The sequence below is a fragment of the Homo sapiens genome, chromosome 19 (assembly GCF_000001405.40).
Source record: "Homo sapiens chromosome 19, GRCh38.p14 Primary Assembly".
Classification (NCBI taxonomy): domain Eukaryota; kingdom Metazoa; phylum Chordata; class Mammalia; order Primates; family Hominidae; genus Homo; species Homo sapiens.
Genome location: NC_000019.10, coordinates 35,216,193 through 35,230,610, shown reverse-complemented (window position 1 = coordinate 35,230,610; position 14,418 = coordinate 35,216,193). Strand labels below are relative to the sequence as shown.

At 50.0% G+C, this 14,418-nt stretch overlaps 1 protein-coding gene across 1 annotated transcript; it reads left to right on the top strand.

Moving 5' to 3' along the window:
* The first annotated feature begins 1,871 nt into the window (after window positions 1-1,871).
* Window positions 1,872-5,811, top strand: FAM187B (family with sequence similarity 187 member B). The gene is made up of 2 exons (NM_152481.2): window positions 1,872-2,652; window positions 5,399-5,811. Exons 1-2 carry the CDS (start codon window positions 1,931-1,933, stop codon window positions 5,784-5,786), a joined length of 1,110 nt encoding a protein of 369 aa, NP_689694.1. The 5' UTR covers window positions 1,872-1,930; the 3' UTR covers window positions 5,787-5,811.
* The last annotated feature ends 8,607 nt before the right edge of the window (window positions 5,812-14,418 follow it).

The window sequence follows — 14,418 nt, the reverse complement described above, 5'->3', positions numbered from 1 at the left end:
TGAGCCATAAATGAATGTTGAGTTTTATCAGATGCATTCTCTGTATCTACTGAGATAATAATATGGTTTTTCTCCTTTATTCTGTTAATGTGGTGAATTACATTAATTGATGTGCAAATATAACCCAAATTTGCCGTCCTGAAATAACCCAATTTGGTCTTTATATTTATCCTTGTGTAAAGAAAATCACTGGAATCAATTTGCAATATTTTCTTTGGGATAGTGTGTCTGTGTTGACAAAAGAGATTGACCTGAGGTTTTTCTTTGTTGTAATGTCCTTATAAGGTTTTGAGATAAGGTGATGCAAGTCTCATAGAAATCTTCCATCTTTTTCTATGTTGGGAAAAGTCTGGAAGATCATTTAATTTATTTATTTATTTATTTATTTATTTGAGGCAGTGTCTCTGTCACCCAGGCTGGAGTGCAGTGGCGCAATCTGCACTCACTGCAACCTCTGCCTCCTGGGTTCAAGCTATTCTTCTGCCTCGGCCACCTGAGTAGCTGGGATTACAGATGCCCGACACCATGCCTGGCTAATTTTTTGTATTTTTAGTAGAGATGGGGCTTCACCGTGTTGGCCAGGCTGGCCTCGAATTCCTGACCTCAAGTGATTCTCCCATCTTGGCCACCCAAAGTGCTGGCAAGTGCTGGCATTACAGGTGTGAGCCACCGCCTGAGAAGGTGTTTAGAAAAGGGGATGGAAGGAAAGGGAGCAACTGAGAAAAATATTTGTTGAAGATGTATTGAGTCATGCAGATGGCTGAGGGAAGAGACGGGGACCAGCATGTGCAATGGTTCTGGGGCAAGAGCCCCTCTGCCTGCCTGACAGATTCAGGGAACAGCGGGAGGCCAGCGTGGTTGGAGGGTAGGGAGTAGGGGGAAAGGTGCAGGAGGTCAGAACAGTAACCAGAGATAAATTTTTTTAAATTTTTATTATTTTTTTTGAGATGGAGTTTCACGCTTGTCACCCAGGCTGGAGTGCAGCGGTGCGATCTCGGCTCACTGCAACCTCCGTCTCCCAGGTTCAAGTGATTCTCCTGCCTCAGCCTCCTGAGTAGCTGGGATTACAGATGCCCGCCACCACACCCAGCTATTTAGTAGAGACGGGGTTTCACCACGTTGGCCAGGCTGGTCTTGAACTCCTGACCTCAGGTGATCCGCCCGCCTCAGCCTCCCAAAAGTGCTGGGATTACAGGCATGAGCCACCGAGCCCAGCCCGAGAGGATTTGTTTACTGCTTTATCCCCAGTGCTAAGAAGTGTGCCCAGAACATAGTAAGAGTTCAGGAAATATGTGTTGAGTGTTCACATGTGACACCTTCATGCTCTTATTTCATCCCTGGGAATGTAGTCTCACCCCTGGGAAAGGAAGCGGGGCAGGTAGTAGAGAAAACTCTGAATAGACAAATTAAGTTTGCTCCTTTCCCAGCAAAATGGAGGGCTTGGAATAGAAATTAAATATGGTCAGCGGGGCACAGTGGCTCACGCCTGTAATCCCAACACTTTGGGAGGCCAAGGTGGGAGGATGGCTTGAAGCCAGGAGTTCGAGACCAGCTTGGGCAACATAACAAGACCCCGTCTCTACAGAAAAAATTTTAAACTAGCTGGGCATGGTTAGCATGCACCTGAAGTCCCAGCTACTCAACAGGCTGAGGTGAGAGGATTACTTGATTCCAGGAGTTTGAGGCTGTAGTGAGCTGTGATTGCAGCACTGCCTTCCAGCCTGGGTAAAAGAGCGAGTCCTTGTCTGAAAAAAAAAAAAAAAAGAAAAACAGTGTTGTCAGCTTGTCACAAAACAAAAGGGGATGGTGACCTCACACACACATGTGGTAGCTGCAATTCATCCCACTGCCCAGGGCTGAGGCCAGAGTTCATGGGTGACCTCACAATGTTCGGGGTGGCACCAGCCCACTGCCACAGCCCCAGTCCACCATGCCACCCATGCTGTGGCTGCTGCTCCACTTTGCTGCCCCGGCACTGGGGTTCTACTTTTCCATCAGCTGCCCCAGTGGTAAGCAGTGCCAACAGGCCCTACTCTCAGGCAATGATATTCTCCTGTATTGCAACTCCTCGGGGGCGCACTGGTACTATTTATTCACACAAGGCAAGAAGGGCAGGCTCACCAGCCTCACCAATATTTCCAATATGGAAATAATGCCCGAGGGCAGCCTTCTCATTAAAGATCCATTGCCCTCCCAGACGGGCCTCTACCACTGCTGGAACAAGAATGGCCGCCAAGTGGTGCAGTATGAAATTGACTTTCAGGATGTCACCACCCTGCATATAACACACAAGGACCTGGGTCAGAGGCCCCTGCAGAACGAGACCCTGCATTTGGGCAGCAAACAGCTCATTTTTACCTGGTGGGAGCCCTGGCAGGACTGCAACCGCTGTGAGGAGCCGGGCGAGTGTAAACGCCTGGGGTACCGCTACATTGAGGAGCCTCTGGAGGAAGCCATGCCCTGCTGGCTCTATCTGGGAGAGGTGCTGGTGTGGTCTAGCCGCTTGCGGCCTGAGCTGCAGGTGGAAGCCTGCCACGTCCAGTGCACCAATAACACACAGTTAAGGGTGGATTACGTCATTTTTGACAACTTCAGGCTCGATGAGAAGACAGAATTTGTGTGGCTCGACTGTCCCTTAGGATCCATGTACAGGTGATGGAATCCCTGCCTCTGGCCCCTACCCAGATTCTTCCGGTCAGGGGATCCTTCCTGGTAATATGTGCAGAGGGATGAGTGGGCGTTCTTTGCAGTTCAGCCACGTAGTGGTCATCAGGACAGTGCCAGGCCCTGCTCTTAAACAGTCCGAGGGGGACACAGCCCAGGGTGGTGCGAGCCGGGATGGGAGAAGCCCAGGCAGACAGATGGGGCTGTGATGGGGGAAGCCCAGGAAGCTTAGGGGCTCCAACAGGCCCCTGCTTCATCTGGAAAGGTCAGTGAGACCTTGGAGGAGAGGCTGGTGCCCCCGGGGCTTCCCATCAAGGCCTGCCTCCCAGAACTCACACTCATCTTCTTACTTCCTGCCAGGAGCCTCTGGAAAATAGCCCCTTCCCCTCCTCTCCCCCAGTCCACCTGCCCCTTAATAAGAAATGCAGGCTGGGCGCGGTGGCTCATGCCTGTAATCCCAGCACTTTGGGAGGCCGAGGTGGGTGGATCACCTGAGGTCAGGAGTTCGAGACCAGCCTGGCCAACATGGTGAAACCCCGTCTCTACTAGAAATACAAAAATTAGCCAGGTATGGTGGCACGTGCCTGTAATCCCAGCTACTCAGGAGGCTGACGCAGGAGAATCACTTGAACCCGGGAGGCGGAGGTTGCAGTGAGCCGAGATCACACCACTGCACTCCAGCCTGGGCAACATCACGAGACAACTCTGACTCAAAAAACAAAAAAACAAAAAAACCCCAGAAATCCATTGTCTCACCCTTCTGGAGGCCGTAAGTCTGAAATCAAGGTGTCAGTAGAACCACGCTCCCTCTCAGTCCCTCTGAGTGAGCTGGGCAGAATCCTCCTTTTTTCTAGCTTCTGGATGCAGTCAGAGATCCCGGTCTTCTCTGGCTTGTGGCTGCTTCTCTCCAATGCCCGCCTCCATCATCACTTGGCATTCTTCCTGGGTGTCTGTGTCCCTGTCTCTCTTTTCCTTTTCTTAAAAGGACACCGGTCAGATGGGATTGAGGGCCCACCTTATTCCAATATGCTCTCATCTCAACTGATTATATCTGCAATGATCCAATTTCCAAATAATGTTACATTCTGAGGTTCTGGGAAGGACATGCATTTTGCGGGGGCCACTGTCTAACTCAGTGCAGAGGTCTTGCCAGCCCCTGGCCACACAGGGTCATTGTGATGTGTTAAGGGGACTAAAGACTGTAGAGTGCCTGCCATAGCATCCAATAAGAAGTTCCACAATGTACCTAGCTGGGAATGCAAGCTTTTATGATATTGTCTGTGGAATATCCTCTCTGTTCTTCCACCACGCTGGGTGTGTCGGTGCCTGATTCATTTCTCCACTAAACACGTGTTCACTGCATATTTATATGCCAAGCTCCATTCTAGGGACCTGGGAAACAGTGAAGAACACAACCAACGGAGATTCTTGCCCTTGTGGCGCATAAATATATAGTTTTATTATTATTATTGTTATTATTATTAGAGACAGGGTCTTGCTCTTTCACCCTGGCTGGAGTACAGTGGCACAATCACAGCTCACTGCAGCCTCAATTCCCCGGGCTCAGGTGATTCTCCCATCTCAGCCTCCACAGTAGCTGGGACTACAGACATGCACTACCACACCCGGCTAAGTTTTTAAGTTTTGTAGAGATGAGGTCTCACTTTGTTGCCCAGGCTGAGCCCAAACTCCTGGGCTCAAGTGATCCTCCCACATCGGCCTCCCAAAGTGCTGGGATTACAAACCTGAGCCACTGTGCCCGACCTATAGTATTTTGGATGGTGACGGAGCAGGAAGGGATGCTGGGAATAGGGGAGGTTAAAAGTGTCAAGTGGTGGGGTCAGGGAAGGCTCCTCTGAGAAGCTGCCATTTCAGCCCAGACTGAAAGGAGGCGAGGAAGCCCTGGGGACAGAGGGAACAGCCAGGGCCAAGACTGCACCCAGCATGTCAGAGGAACATCTAGGAGAGCAGCGTGGCTAGGCAGAGTGAGTAAAGGGGAGAGTGAAGGAGATGAGACCAGACAGGCAAAGGCAGGTGGACAAATCATTTAAGGAGTGCCCTTGCTAACTCCTCCAAATAACCTTATGAGGTACAATCATTACTCTCCATTTTTTTTGGTTTGTTGTTTTCTTTTTTGGGACAGGGTCTTGCTCTGTCACCCAGGCTGGAGTGCAGTGCTGTGACTGGCTCACTGCAGCCTCAACCTCCTGGGCTCAAGTAATCCTCCCACCTCAGCCTCCTGAGCAGCCAGGACCACAGGCGCATGTCAGCATGTCCAGCTAATTTTTTAAATTTTTGCAGACATGGGTTCTTGCTTTGTTGTCCAGGCTGGTTCTGAACTCCTGGGCTCAAGCCATCCTCCTTGCCTTTGCCTCTGAAAGTGTTGGGATTACAGGTGTGAGCCACCAAGCCTGGTCTAGACTCTTAGTTTTACATAAAGAAATGGAAGTTCAAAGAGCTGGAGGCATTTGCCCAGGTCACCCAGCCAGTAAGGGGTGGGGCCAGTAAGGGGTGGAGCCAGGAAGAGGGGAGCCAGTAAGGGGTGGGGCCAGTAACGGGTGGAGCCCTGGGAGCCCCCAGCTGTGCCTCCTCCACCCCACTGTTGACGGCTGCACAGTGCTCCGTGGGGGGTGGCGAGGAGGGGGACTGGGCGGTGCTTTATTTTCTGTTCCTCAGGGAGACGTCGGTCCCTCCTTTCTCCCTGGCCCTGCACCTGACCTTGTCCTCCTCGCAGGCCCGTCAACTGGCGTGCCAACGACACCCCCCTGACGTGGGAGAGCCAGCTCTCCGGCCAGGACTTCACCACCTTTCTGGACCCCTCCACCGGCGGCAGGCAGCTGCAGGTTTTCCAGCCGGCCGTCTACAAGTGCTTCGTGCAGCAGGAGCTCGTGGCCCAGTTCAAACCCGCCGCCAGTCTGGAGACGCTGGAGGCTCAGTGGAGAGAGAACGATGCCCAGTGGCGGGAGGCAAGGAAGGCCCTGCGGGGCAGGGCGGACTCCGTGCTCAAGGGGCTGAAGCTGGTGCTGCTCGTGGTCACCGTCCTGGCCCTGCTGGGGGCGCTGCTCAAGTGCATCCACCCTTCCCCGGGCAGGAGAAGCACACAGGTGCTGGTGGTGAAATAAAGCGAGCCCCCGGTGCACAAGCGGACCCGGCCTCCGGTTCTCTCTTAGCCACAGCCGCCCCTTCTGTCACTTCCGCCCCGGTGCCCCGTAGCCCAGGGTGACCGAGCTCTTCCCTGGGTCAGGTGCTGCTCTGTTAACTCATTAGTAATTTCCATAGAACAGATGAGGAAACTGAGGCTGGTGATTCTAGTTCAAACCAGGTTGCCTGTCCCAAGCCCTGTGTTCTTCAGAAGGAGGGAGAGATGGAACCAGGCCATTCTTGGGGTGTCTCCCTAAAGGTGGTAACTCATAGCCTCCTCACTCATCCCATTCCCCCAACTACAAGATGGGGGATATGAGCAGGACACCTCTAGGCTCCCCAGATCTGCCCTGGGCCCTGCTGTCTTTTCCTGCCCATCCCTTGCCCACCCTCCCCACTGTGCCCAGGCCTTCAGGCCCAGCCACCACTCCCCAAGTCAGAGGCACTGCCAGACACGCGCCACTTTTCCAGGCTCTTGTGGTGGAGTGAGGCCCCTCAGGCCCTTGGAAGGGGAGACAGGCCCTTTTGCTGGTACAAGGTGCCAGGCCTGGCTCAGCTGACCTGCAGGAATCACCAGGCCTGACTGTTCCCAGAAATCACACACTGTTCAGCAGAGTGCAAGAGTGAAAAATAATTCATGCCATTAAAATTCATTGCCCTAATAGTGCAGTGAAGCCATGACTGGACAGAGATGAAACTCTCCCAGAACAGAACCTCTGCCCCCAGGATAGGGCAGGGCTCATCCTTCGTGTACCAGACACTGTTGCCAAAACACTTAAGGCTTCATGTGGTGCCCAGATGCTCAAAGATTCCTGCAGAATGAGGGAGCGTTCCCTGAGAACTAAAGAGGCCTCCCTGGGAACCAGAGGTAGACAATAATAATGATAATCATAGCAAACATTTGGGGACTTCCTGGTGAGGTCAAAACTCAAACCCTTTGTAAGTGCTATGTCCCCACGATCACCCAAGAGGCTGGTGCTACTGTTAACCTTGTTTTGCAGCTGAGAACATCAAGACTCAGAAGCTTCAAGCAACTTGCCTGAGGTCACACAGTGAGCTTGGGAAGGGGCCAGTGGTTGGAAGGTGAAAGGAGACCTGAAGCGCCCACCCCAGGTCCCAGGGAGCCCCCCAATGCCTGCAACCCATAGAAGCCCCCATTGTATGGGAGCTGGAGGTGGGACAGAGAGAGTCAAGCACGGGTCCCACACTCAAGGGGTTTGTTCTTCGCAGCACTGAAGTCTCACAACCCATAGCAGAGGCTGTCAGTGCCCCAGTGCTCCAAGGCTGTCAGGGCAGCTCCTAAGGTGACCCCAGTGACTTCCCACCTCCTGGTGTCCATGCCTTGTATGATCCCCTCTCCTCCAGTGTGGACAGACCTGTGACCTTGCATCTAACCAATAGCACACAGTAAAGGTGTTGAGCTGTCACTCCCTAGCTTGCCTTATGTTATCTAAGACTCTGTCTTAGAAGATCAGAGGGAGGGAGCCTTGCTGGCTTGATGAAGTAAGCAGCCACATTGAGGAAGTCCACGTGGTAGGGAGCTGTGGGTGGCCTCCAGGAGATGCAAGTGGCCTCTAGGACCTGAGGGAGGCTCCCAGTTGACAGCAAGCAAAAGGCCAGGACCCTCAGTCACACAGCCAGAGAGAAACGAACTCTGCCAATAACCTGGATGAACTCAGAAGTAGATTCATCCCCAGTCGAGCCTCCAGATGAAAGTGCAGCCTGATCCGTGTCTGACAGCAGCCTTCTGAGACCTCAGATGGAGGGCTCAGCTAAGCTGTGCCTGGACTCCTGATCCACAGAAACTGTGAGATCATAGACGTGTGTTGTTTTAAGCCACTGAATTTCTGGCAATCTGCTTTGCAGCAACAGACAACAAATACACTCACCCATATCCCTGAAAAGACCTGGAAGTCCCCTGCAGCTTTAGCAGTCATGGGCATGATTCCAGTGGGTGCCAGGGGTTTCCTAACTCATACCAGAAGCCTGCTGGGCCACTCATGGAGCAGGCTAGAAGCTGGGCAGTTGACACCCCAGGAGCAGTCCTTAACCTCGAGGGATGGGAACGGGAGCACCCAGCTTCCTCACCCCTGTAAGGCACACTCTACACATCCTCTTGCAGGTCCCCAGGGGTAACATTCACAGGTGCTGGGGATTAGAGTGACATCTTTGGGAGGTGTTATTCAGCCTACCCCAAGCAGTTGCAGGCACAGGCAGCGTATATAAGGGCTCTGGGGCTGGGTGTCTACTTGGTGGACGGAGCTGATTAGGACAGGAAGGCAACTGTGGAGAGAACATCAAGGAGGTCACCAGGGCCGAGAGTGTGTGGGACTCTGTAGGCCAGGATAGCAGCTGTGGGCTTTATTTGAAATGAAATGGGAGCCACGTGAGGGTTTTGAGCAGTGGAGAGACATGACCTGATGTCCACTTAAAATGGCGATTCTCCTGAGGTCAGGAGTTCGAGACCAGCCTTGCCAACACTGTGAAAACCCATCTATACGAAAAATACAAAAATTAGCCAGGCGTGGTGGCGGAGCTGTAATTCCAGCACTTGGGAGGCTGAGACATGAGAATTGTTTGAACCCAGGAGGCAGAGGTTGCAGTGAGCCGAGATTGCGCCACTGTACTCCAGCCTGGCCAACAAAGATAGACTTCATCTCAAAAAAAAAAAAAAAAGTGATTCTGACAAGGTGGGGTTCCTTACAGGTAAGGGTGGGTTGCCCCCCAGGTTGCAGCAGGGAGTAGCAGCCGCTTTGCGTGTGGCCAGCTGTACAATAAGAAACTTTCCTCACCAAGCAGGAGACATGGTCAGGCCCAGCCTTGCCACCCTCCCCTGCACAACAGAGTACAGCGTAAGACAAAACACGCCCCAGATTCCATTTTTAACCATCCTATTCTTCCCTCTTCCTTTTCTTATTGTAATTTTTTAACTTCTTAGGCCTATGTTTTTGGGGAAAAAAATAATTGCTTATAAATGCAATTCCAGTACTTAGCCTTGCTATACGGCTCTTCTACTCTGCCAGAGAAAGAAAAGGAGAAAATATTCCCTTTCTTTCTAAAGCTGTCACCTTAGAACAAATTGTCTATATCACCTTAGAACAAATTGTCACCTTAGAACAAATTGTATAAAGGCCTGGTGAGTGGAGCATGGAGTGGGTTCCCCTCATCCCTTGGCTGGACATGTCGGGCAGTGCTCAACTTGTACAACTCCACATGACAACCCCGAATACAGATACTTTCTGCATCATAAAATTGTCTTGGCAGGCCAGGCACAGTGGCTCACATCTGTAATTCCAGCACTTTGAGAGGCTGAGGCAGGCAGATCACAAGGTCAGGAGTTCGAGACCAGCCTGGCCAGCATGGTGAAACCCTGCCTCTACTAAAAATACAAGAGTTGGCCAGGTGTGGTGGCATGTGCCTGTAATCCCTGCTACTGGGGAGGCTGAGGCAGGAGAATCACTTGAACCCAGGAGGTGGAGGTTGCAGTGAGCCGAGATTGCACCACTGCATTCCAGCCTGGGCAACAGAGCAAGTCTCCATTTCAAAAAAAAAAATTGTCTTGGCAAATCCTACTGCTATTGAAGGAGTCTCATTTGTTACTCTGTATTAGTCAGTATAGGATAGGCTCCACTGCAGCAATAAATACGCTCCAGAATAAAACACAGAGGTTTGTTTCCTGCTTACATTAGTATCAAGCAAAAGGGGTTTGCTGCCAGATGCACAACAAGCCAATACTATGGCATGAGGTTTTTGAGAAAATAAAAGCTTTATATTGCAGGTTAACTTCCAAGGAGACAGGAGTCCCACTGAAATCTGTCTCCCTATGCTGGCTTTAAGGCAGTAATTTTACCAGGAAAGGTTAGGGGGTGGATTCTGGGATTAGCTAGTGATTGGTGGAAGCCAAGGGGAGGTCTGGAAAGTCCTCAGGCATGCATAGTTCTCTCTCATGCCTCCTTAGGGGGTCCCATGTGCAAACTTGACGGGTTAGTATGAAACTTTGGGCTGTGACTTCAGCAAACTGGTTCTGCACAGACTCCACTTAGCCATATTGTTTCCAGTTGATTTCAGCCAGTTCTTTTATCTCATAAGTGGAGGGAGTGGTTCACATTTCCGCAAGTTGTTCTTATCTGCCATCCTGCAAACTCAAGAATTTCTGTTAGTTACTGATTTCTTTTAACTCTTTGGGGCATGGTTTCAACCTCATAGTCTCAGCTCAGGTGGCTTTCTTTCACTTGATTCAGATAACTCAGGAATGCAGGCTGCCATCTGAAGTACTGGCTTCCAAGGTCACCACACAATGGACAGAGAGAACATGGAACTGAGTATGAAGGGTAGAGCTGGGCCTAGAAGTGTCATCTGTTTTGTCCACTGGCCAGAACATTTCATTGGCCAGAACGCAGTCACATGACCCCTCCTCAACTGCAAAGCAAGCTGGGAAATATGGCTGCCTGTGTGCCCAGGAAGAGGAGGTAAATTGTTGGCCATCTGGCCAATTAACGCCCAGGTGGGGATTCAGAAATTGTGGCCATGTCCTGTGAAAGCAATTCTAACCACTAAAAAAAAAGAATCTGTAATTCTGATTCCTTGTACAAATAATTTGTTGACCTGAGAATAATATGGACTTCTCTGAATTCCTAAAACTTGTATATACTTATCATTTCCTTGTTCAGACATAGGAAGTTCATTGGCATCTATTAATACTTCTTTACAGGCAGGGTGCGGTGGCTCACACCTGTAATCTCAGCACTTTGGGAGACTGAGGCGGGTGGATCACCTGAGGTCAGGAGTTGGAGACCAGCCTGGCCAAAATGGCGAAACCCCGTCTCTCCTAAAAATACGAAAAATTAGTCAGGCATGGTGGTGGGTGCCTGTAACCCCAGCTACTTGGGAGGCTGAAGCAGGAGAATTGCTTGAACCCAGGAGGTGGAGGTTGCAGTGAGCCGAGATCACACCATTGCACTCCAGACTGGTCAACAGAGTGAGACTCTGTCTCAAAAAGAAAACCTCTTTACTGCACGATGGATGACTGCTCGCTTTTCCCTTTTCCTTGCACCACACATGCTCCTTCCAGCTCCAATCAAACTGGTTGCATAAGCTGTTTCTACTCATTACTCTCCTCACTATATGCTGTGCCCTCCAACCTAGAAAACTCTTACTTTCCCCTTCTCTTAGTTAACTGCTCTTATACTTCAAGCATCATTGCCTCATGGAAGTCTTCCCATCACACATATGCTTTCAGAATGGTCATTAGTGCTGCTCCCTGAATCCCCCTGGCTCTCTCCCTTCCAAGCATAGGACGGAATGCCATTTCTGGTCCTCCTTATGGTTGGGTGGGGCCTTGCAACTAGTTCTGGCCAATGAAGTGTGGGCAGAAGTAATACAGTCACTTCTAGGCCAGAGCACTTAATTGCCTGGGCAAAGATACTCTAGGATTCTCTTTCCCTCTGCACAGAGCCCACAATTCTTGAGTTGGAGACCATTCTGCCAGCCTGGATTGAAAAGGAGGAGAAGTGAAACTGACCTACAATAGATGTGACAGATAAAAAGTAAACTTTTGTTATTATAAGGTGCTAAGACTTGGGGGATGTTTGTTACCACAGCATAACCCAGCCTATTCTGACTGATACATTCTCCTTCCAAAACACTTGTCTCTTTTGCAATTTTTCACTGTTTCTGTCACTATCAGATTAGTATTTTTCTTTAAGCTACAAATTGAGAGCTCCATGAGGTCAGGAATTTGTGGTTGTTGTTCTCCATTGTATCCCCAGATTCTGAAAGAGCTGGAACAACGTAAGACCTCAATAAATGTAAACTGAAGGGCTGGGCGTGGTGGCTCATGCCTGTAATCCCAGCACTTTGGGAGGCCAAGGTGGGTAGATCACCTGAGGTTGGGAGTTCCGGACCACCTGGCCAACATGGTGAAACCCTGTCTCTACTAAAAATACAAAAATTAGCCAGGCGTGGTGGCACAGGCCTGTAATCCCAGCTACTCGGAAGGCTGGGGCATCAGAATTGCTTGAACCTGGGAGGCGGAGGTTGCAGTGAGCTGGAGGCCATTGCACTCCAGCCTGGGTGACAGAGTGAGACTCTGTTTAAAAAAATAAAAAATAAAAAAATACTAAACTGAAGGAAGAAATGATTGAGCAAGACTCCTGGGAGGTAGGTACAATTATCCTTATTTTACAGGGATAAAATGGAAGATTGGAATGGTTGCATTGATTGCTCAATATCACATGTCAGGTAAACGGCAGAGATTGGATCATAACCCAGGTCTAACTGAATCCAGAGCTTTTTACAACAATGTGCTGCTACCTGTTCTGAATCGGTAGGTCTCAGATTACCAGGTCGTGGTTCTTATTCCCAAGGGTTTTTGTTCTGCCACCAAGGAATGTCTCTGTGTTGGTGATATGAAGGGCTAAGAGGCTGGGGACCTATGGGCCATTGGGAGGCTACACTAAAATGACCCACAGCTGGCCAGGTGTGGTGGCTCATGCCTGTAATCCCAGCACATTGGGAGGCCGAGGTGGGCGGATCACGAGGTCAGGAGATTGAGAACATCCTGGCTAACATGGTGAAACCCCGTCTCTACTAAAAATACAAAAAATTAGCCGGGCATGGTGGTGGGCACCTGTAGTCCCAGCTACTCGGGAGGCTAAGGCAGGAGAATGGCGTGAACCCGGGAGGTGGAGCTTGCAGTGAGCTGAGATTGCACCACTGCACTCCAGCCTGGGTGACAGAGCGAGACTCTGTCTCAAAAAAAAAAAAAAGAAAAGAAAGAAAGAAAGAAAGAAAAATGACCCACAGCTGTCTGGACAAGGCAAAAAGGTTCATGGTGGGCAGGGTGTTATTCAACTGTCTCTCTGCCTTTCATTTTACCTCTTTTTAAATTGAGTGTTCACTCTCTGCCAATGTTATGGACTGCATGTCTCCTCAGAAATTTGCATGTTGACATCTTAACCCCCAATGGCATAGTGTTGCAGGGGAGCTCTTGTGAGGTCATTAGGTCATGAGGGTGGAGCCCTCATGATAGGATTAGTGTTCTTATAAGAGACACCAAAGAGCTTGCCTTTTCTCTCTCTGCTCTCTGATATGTGAGGACACAGCAAGAAGATGGCCATCTGCAAACCAGGGAACAGCCCTCATCATACATCACTTCTGGCACCTTGATCTTGGACTTCCCAGCCTCCAGAACTGTGAGAAATAAATGTTTGTTGTTGAAGCCACCTAGGCTATGGCTAGGCTATAGCCACCTAGGCTATAATTTATTATAGCAGCCTGAACAGAGTAAGACAGCCAGGCTCTGTGCCAAGAGTTTTAGGATCATGAGCTCATGACATCCTCATGACCATCCCAAATGGTTCCTGTTTTTCACAAGAGGAACTCTGGCACAGAGATGTGAGTTTATTTGCCCATGTTTACAAAGTGTATCGGTTAGTGTATCAGTTATGGCTGCAAACAAAACATCCCCCAAGTCAGAGATTTAAATTATTGTTTAATAATAATTGTAAGCATTCATTATTGCTTACAAGTCTACAAATTAGTTGGGCAGTTCTGGTTTCAGCTGTGATCATTCTTGCTTCTCTGATCAGCAGCAGTGAATTGGGGTTGGCTCTGCTGATCTTGGCTGACTCGATAGTTGGCTCTCTGTAGGCTGGACCAGATGTCATCAGCTGGAGCCGCTGGGTTCTCCTCCACCTGCTCTCTCATCCTCCAGCAGGCCAACCCAGGTGTGTCCACAAGGTGGTGGCAGGAGTCCAAGAAAGTGAATGGAAGTTGCAAGGTCACTTGAGACCCAGCCTCCAAACTAGCACAGTATCACCAGGGACTGGGATGTAGAGGCCTCACCTTGTCATGTGACCTGGAGGTCAGGGTTTTGGAAGGCCCTTGGGCAAGGTTGAGTTAAACCAGACAAAGCAGTTCTCTACTGTTGCCTAAGAAATCATCTAAAATGGCTTAAAACAACATTGATGGATTTATCTGTCCATTCTGCAGGTTGGTAATGTAGGTTGGGCTCACTCATGTATCTGTGGCCAGCACTGTGTAGCTAGGTGGCTCTGCCTCAGGGGGCTGGATGGGCAGTTCGCTGGGGAGCCTCCAGCCTCTCATCCTCCAGCAGGCTAGCCCGGTCATGTTCACAAGGTCATGGCAAGATCAACTAAGAGAGTACATGGAAGCGGCAAGGTTTCTTGAAGTCTAGGCTTGAAACTAACACAGCATTACTTTCACCATGTTTGATTGGCCAAAAGAAATTACAAGGTCAGCCCAGATTCAAGGGGTGGAGACACAGACTCCATCCCTTGATGGGAAGAGTGGCAAAGTCACCTTGTAAGAATGTACACAAGGAGGCATGAAAGAGTGTGTCCATTCTGCAACATCCTACCACAAGCTCTCAGTAACAGCCTGGATTCTAACCCATGATGCATGTGGCCTCCACATGGCCTACTCTCTTAAGCTGTATCACTTCTTTTTTTTTTTTTTTTTTTCTGAAATGGAGTCTTGCTCTGTCGCCCAGACTGAAGTACAGTGGCATGATCTTGGCTCACTGCAATTTCCACCTTCCAGGTTCAAGTGATTCTCCTGACTAAGCCTCCTGAGTAGCCGGGATTACACATG

What these genes read in the sequence shown, in the direction of transcription:
- FAM187B (NM_152481.2), top strand. Translation starts at nt 1,931, where the DNA reads ATGCCACCCATGCTGTGGCTGCTGCTCCACTTTGCTGCCCCGGCACTG. An exon ending in CCCTTAGGATCCATGTACAG is followed by an intron (nt 2,653 to 5,398) that starts GTGATGGAATCC and finishes TCCTCCTCGCAG; the next exon opens with GCCCGTCAACTGGCGTGCCA.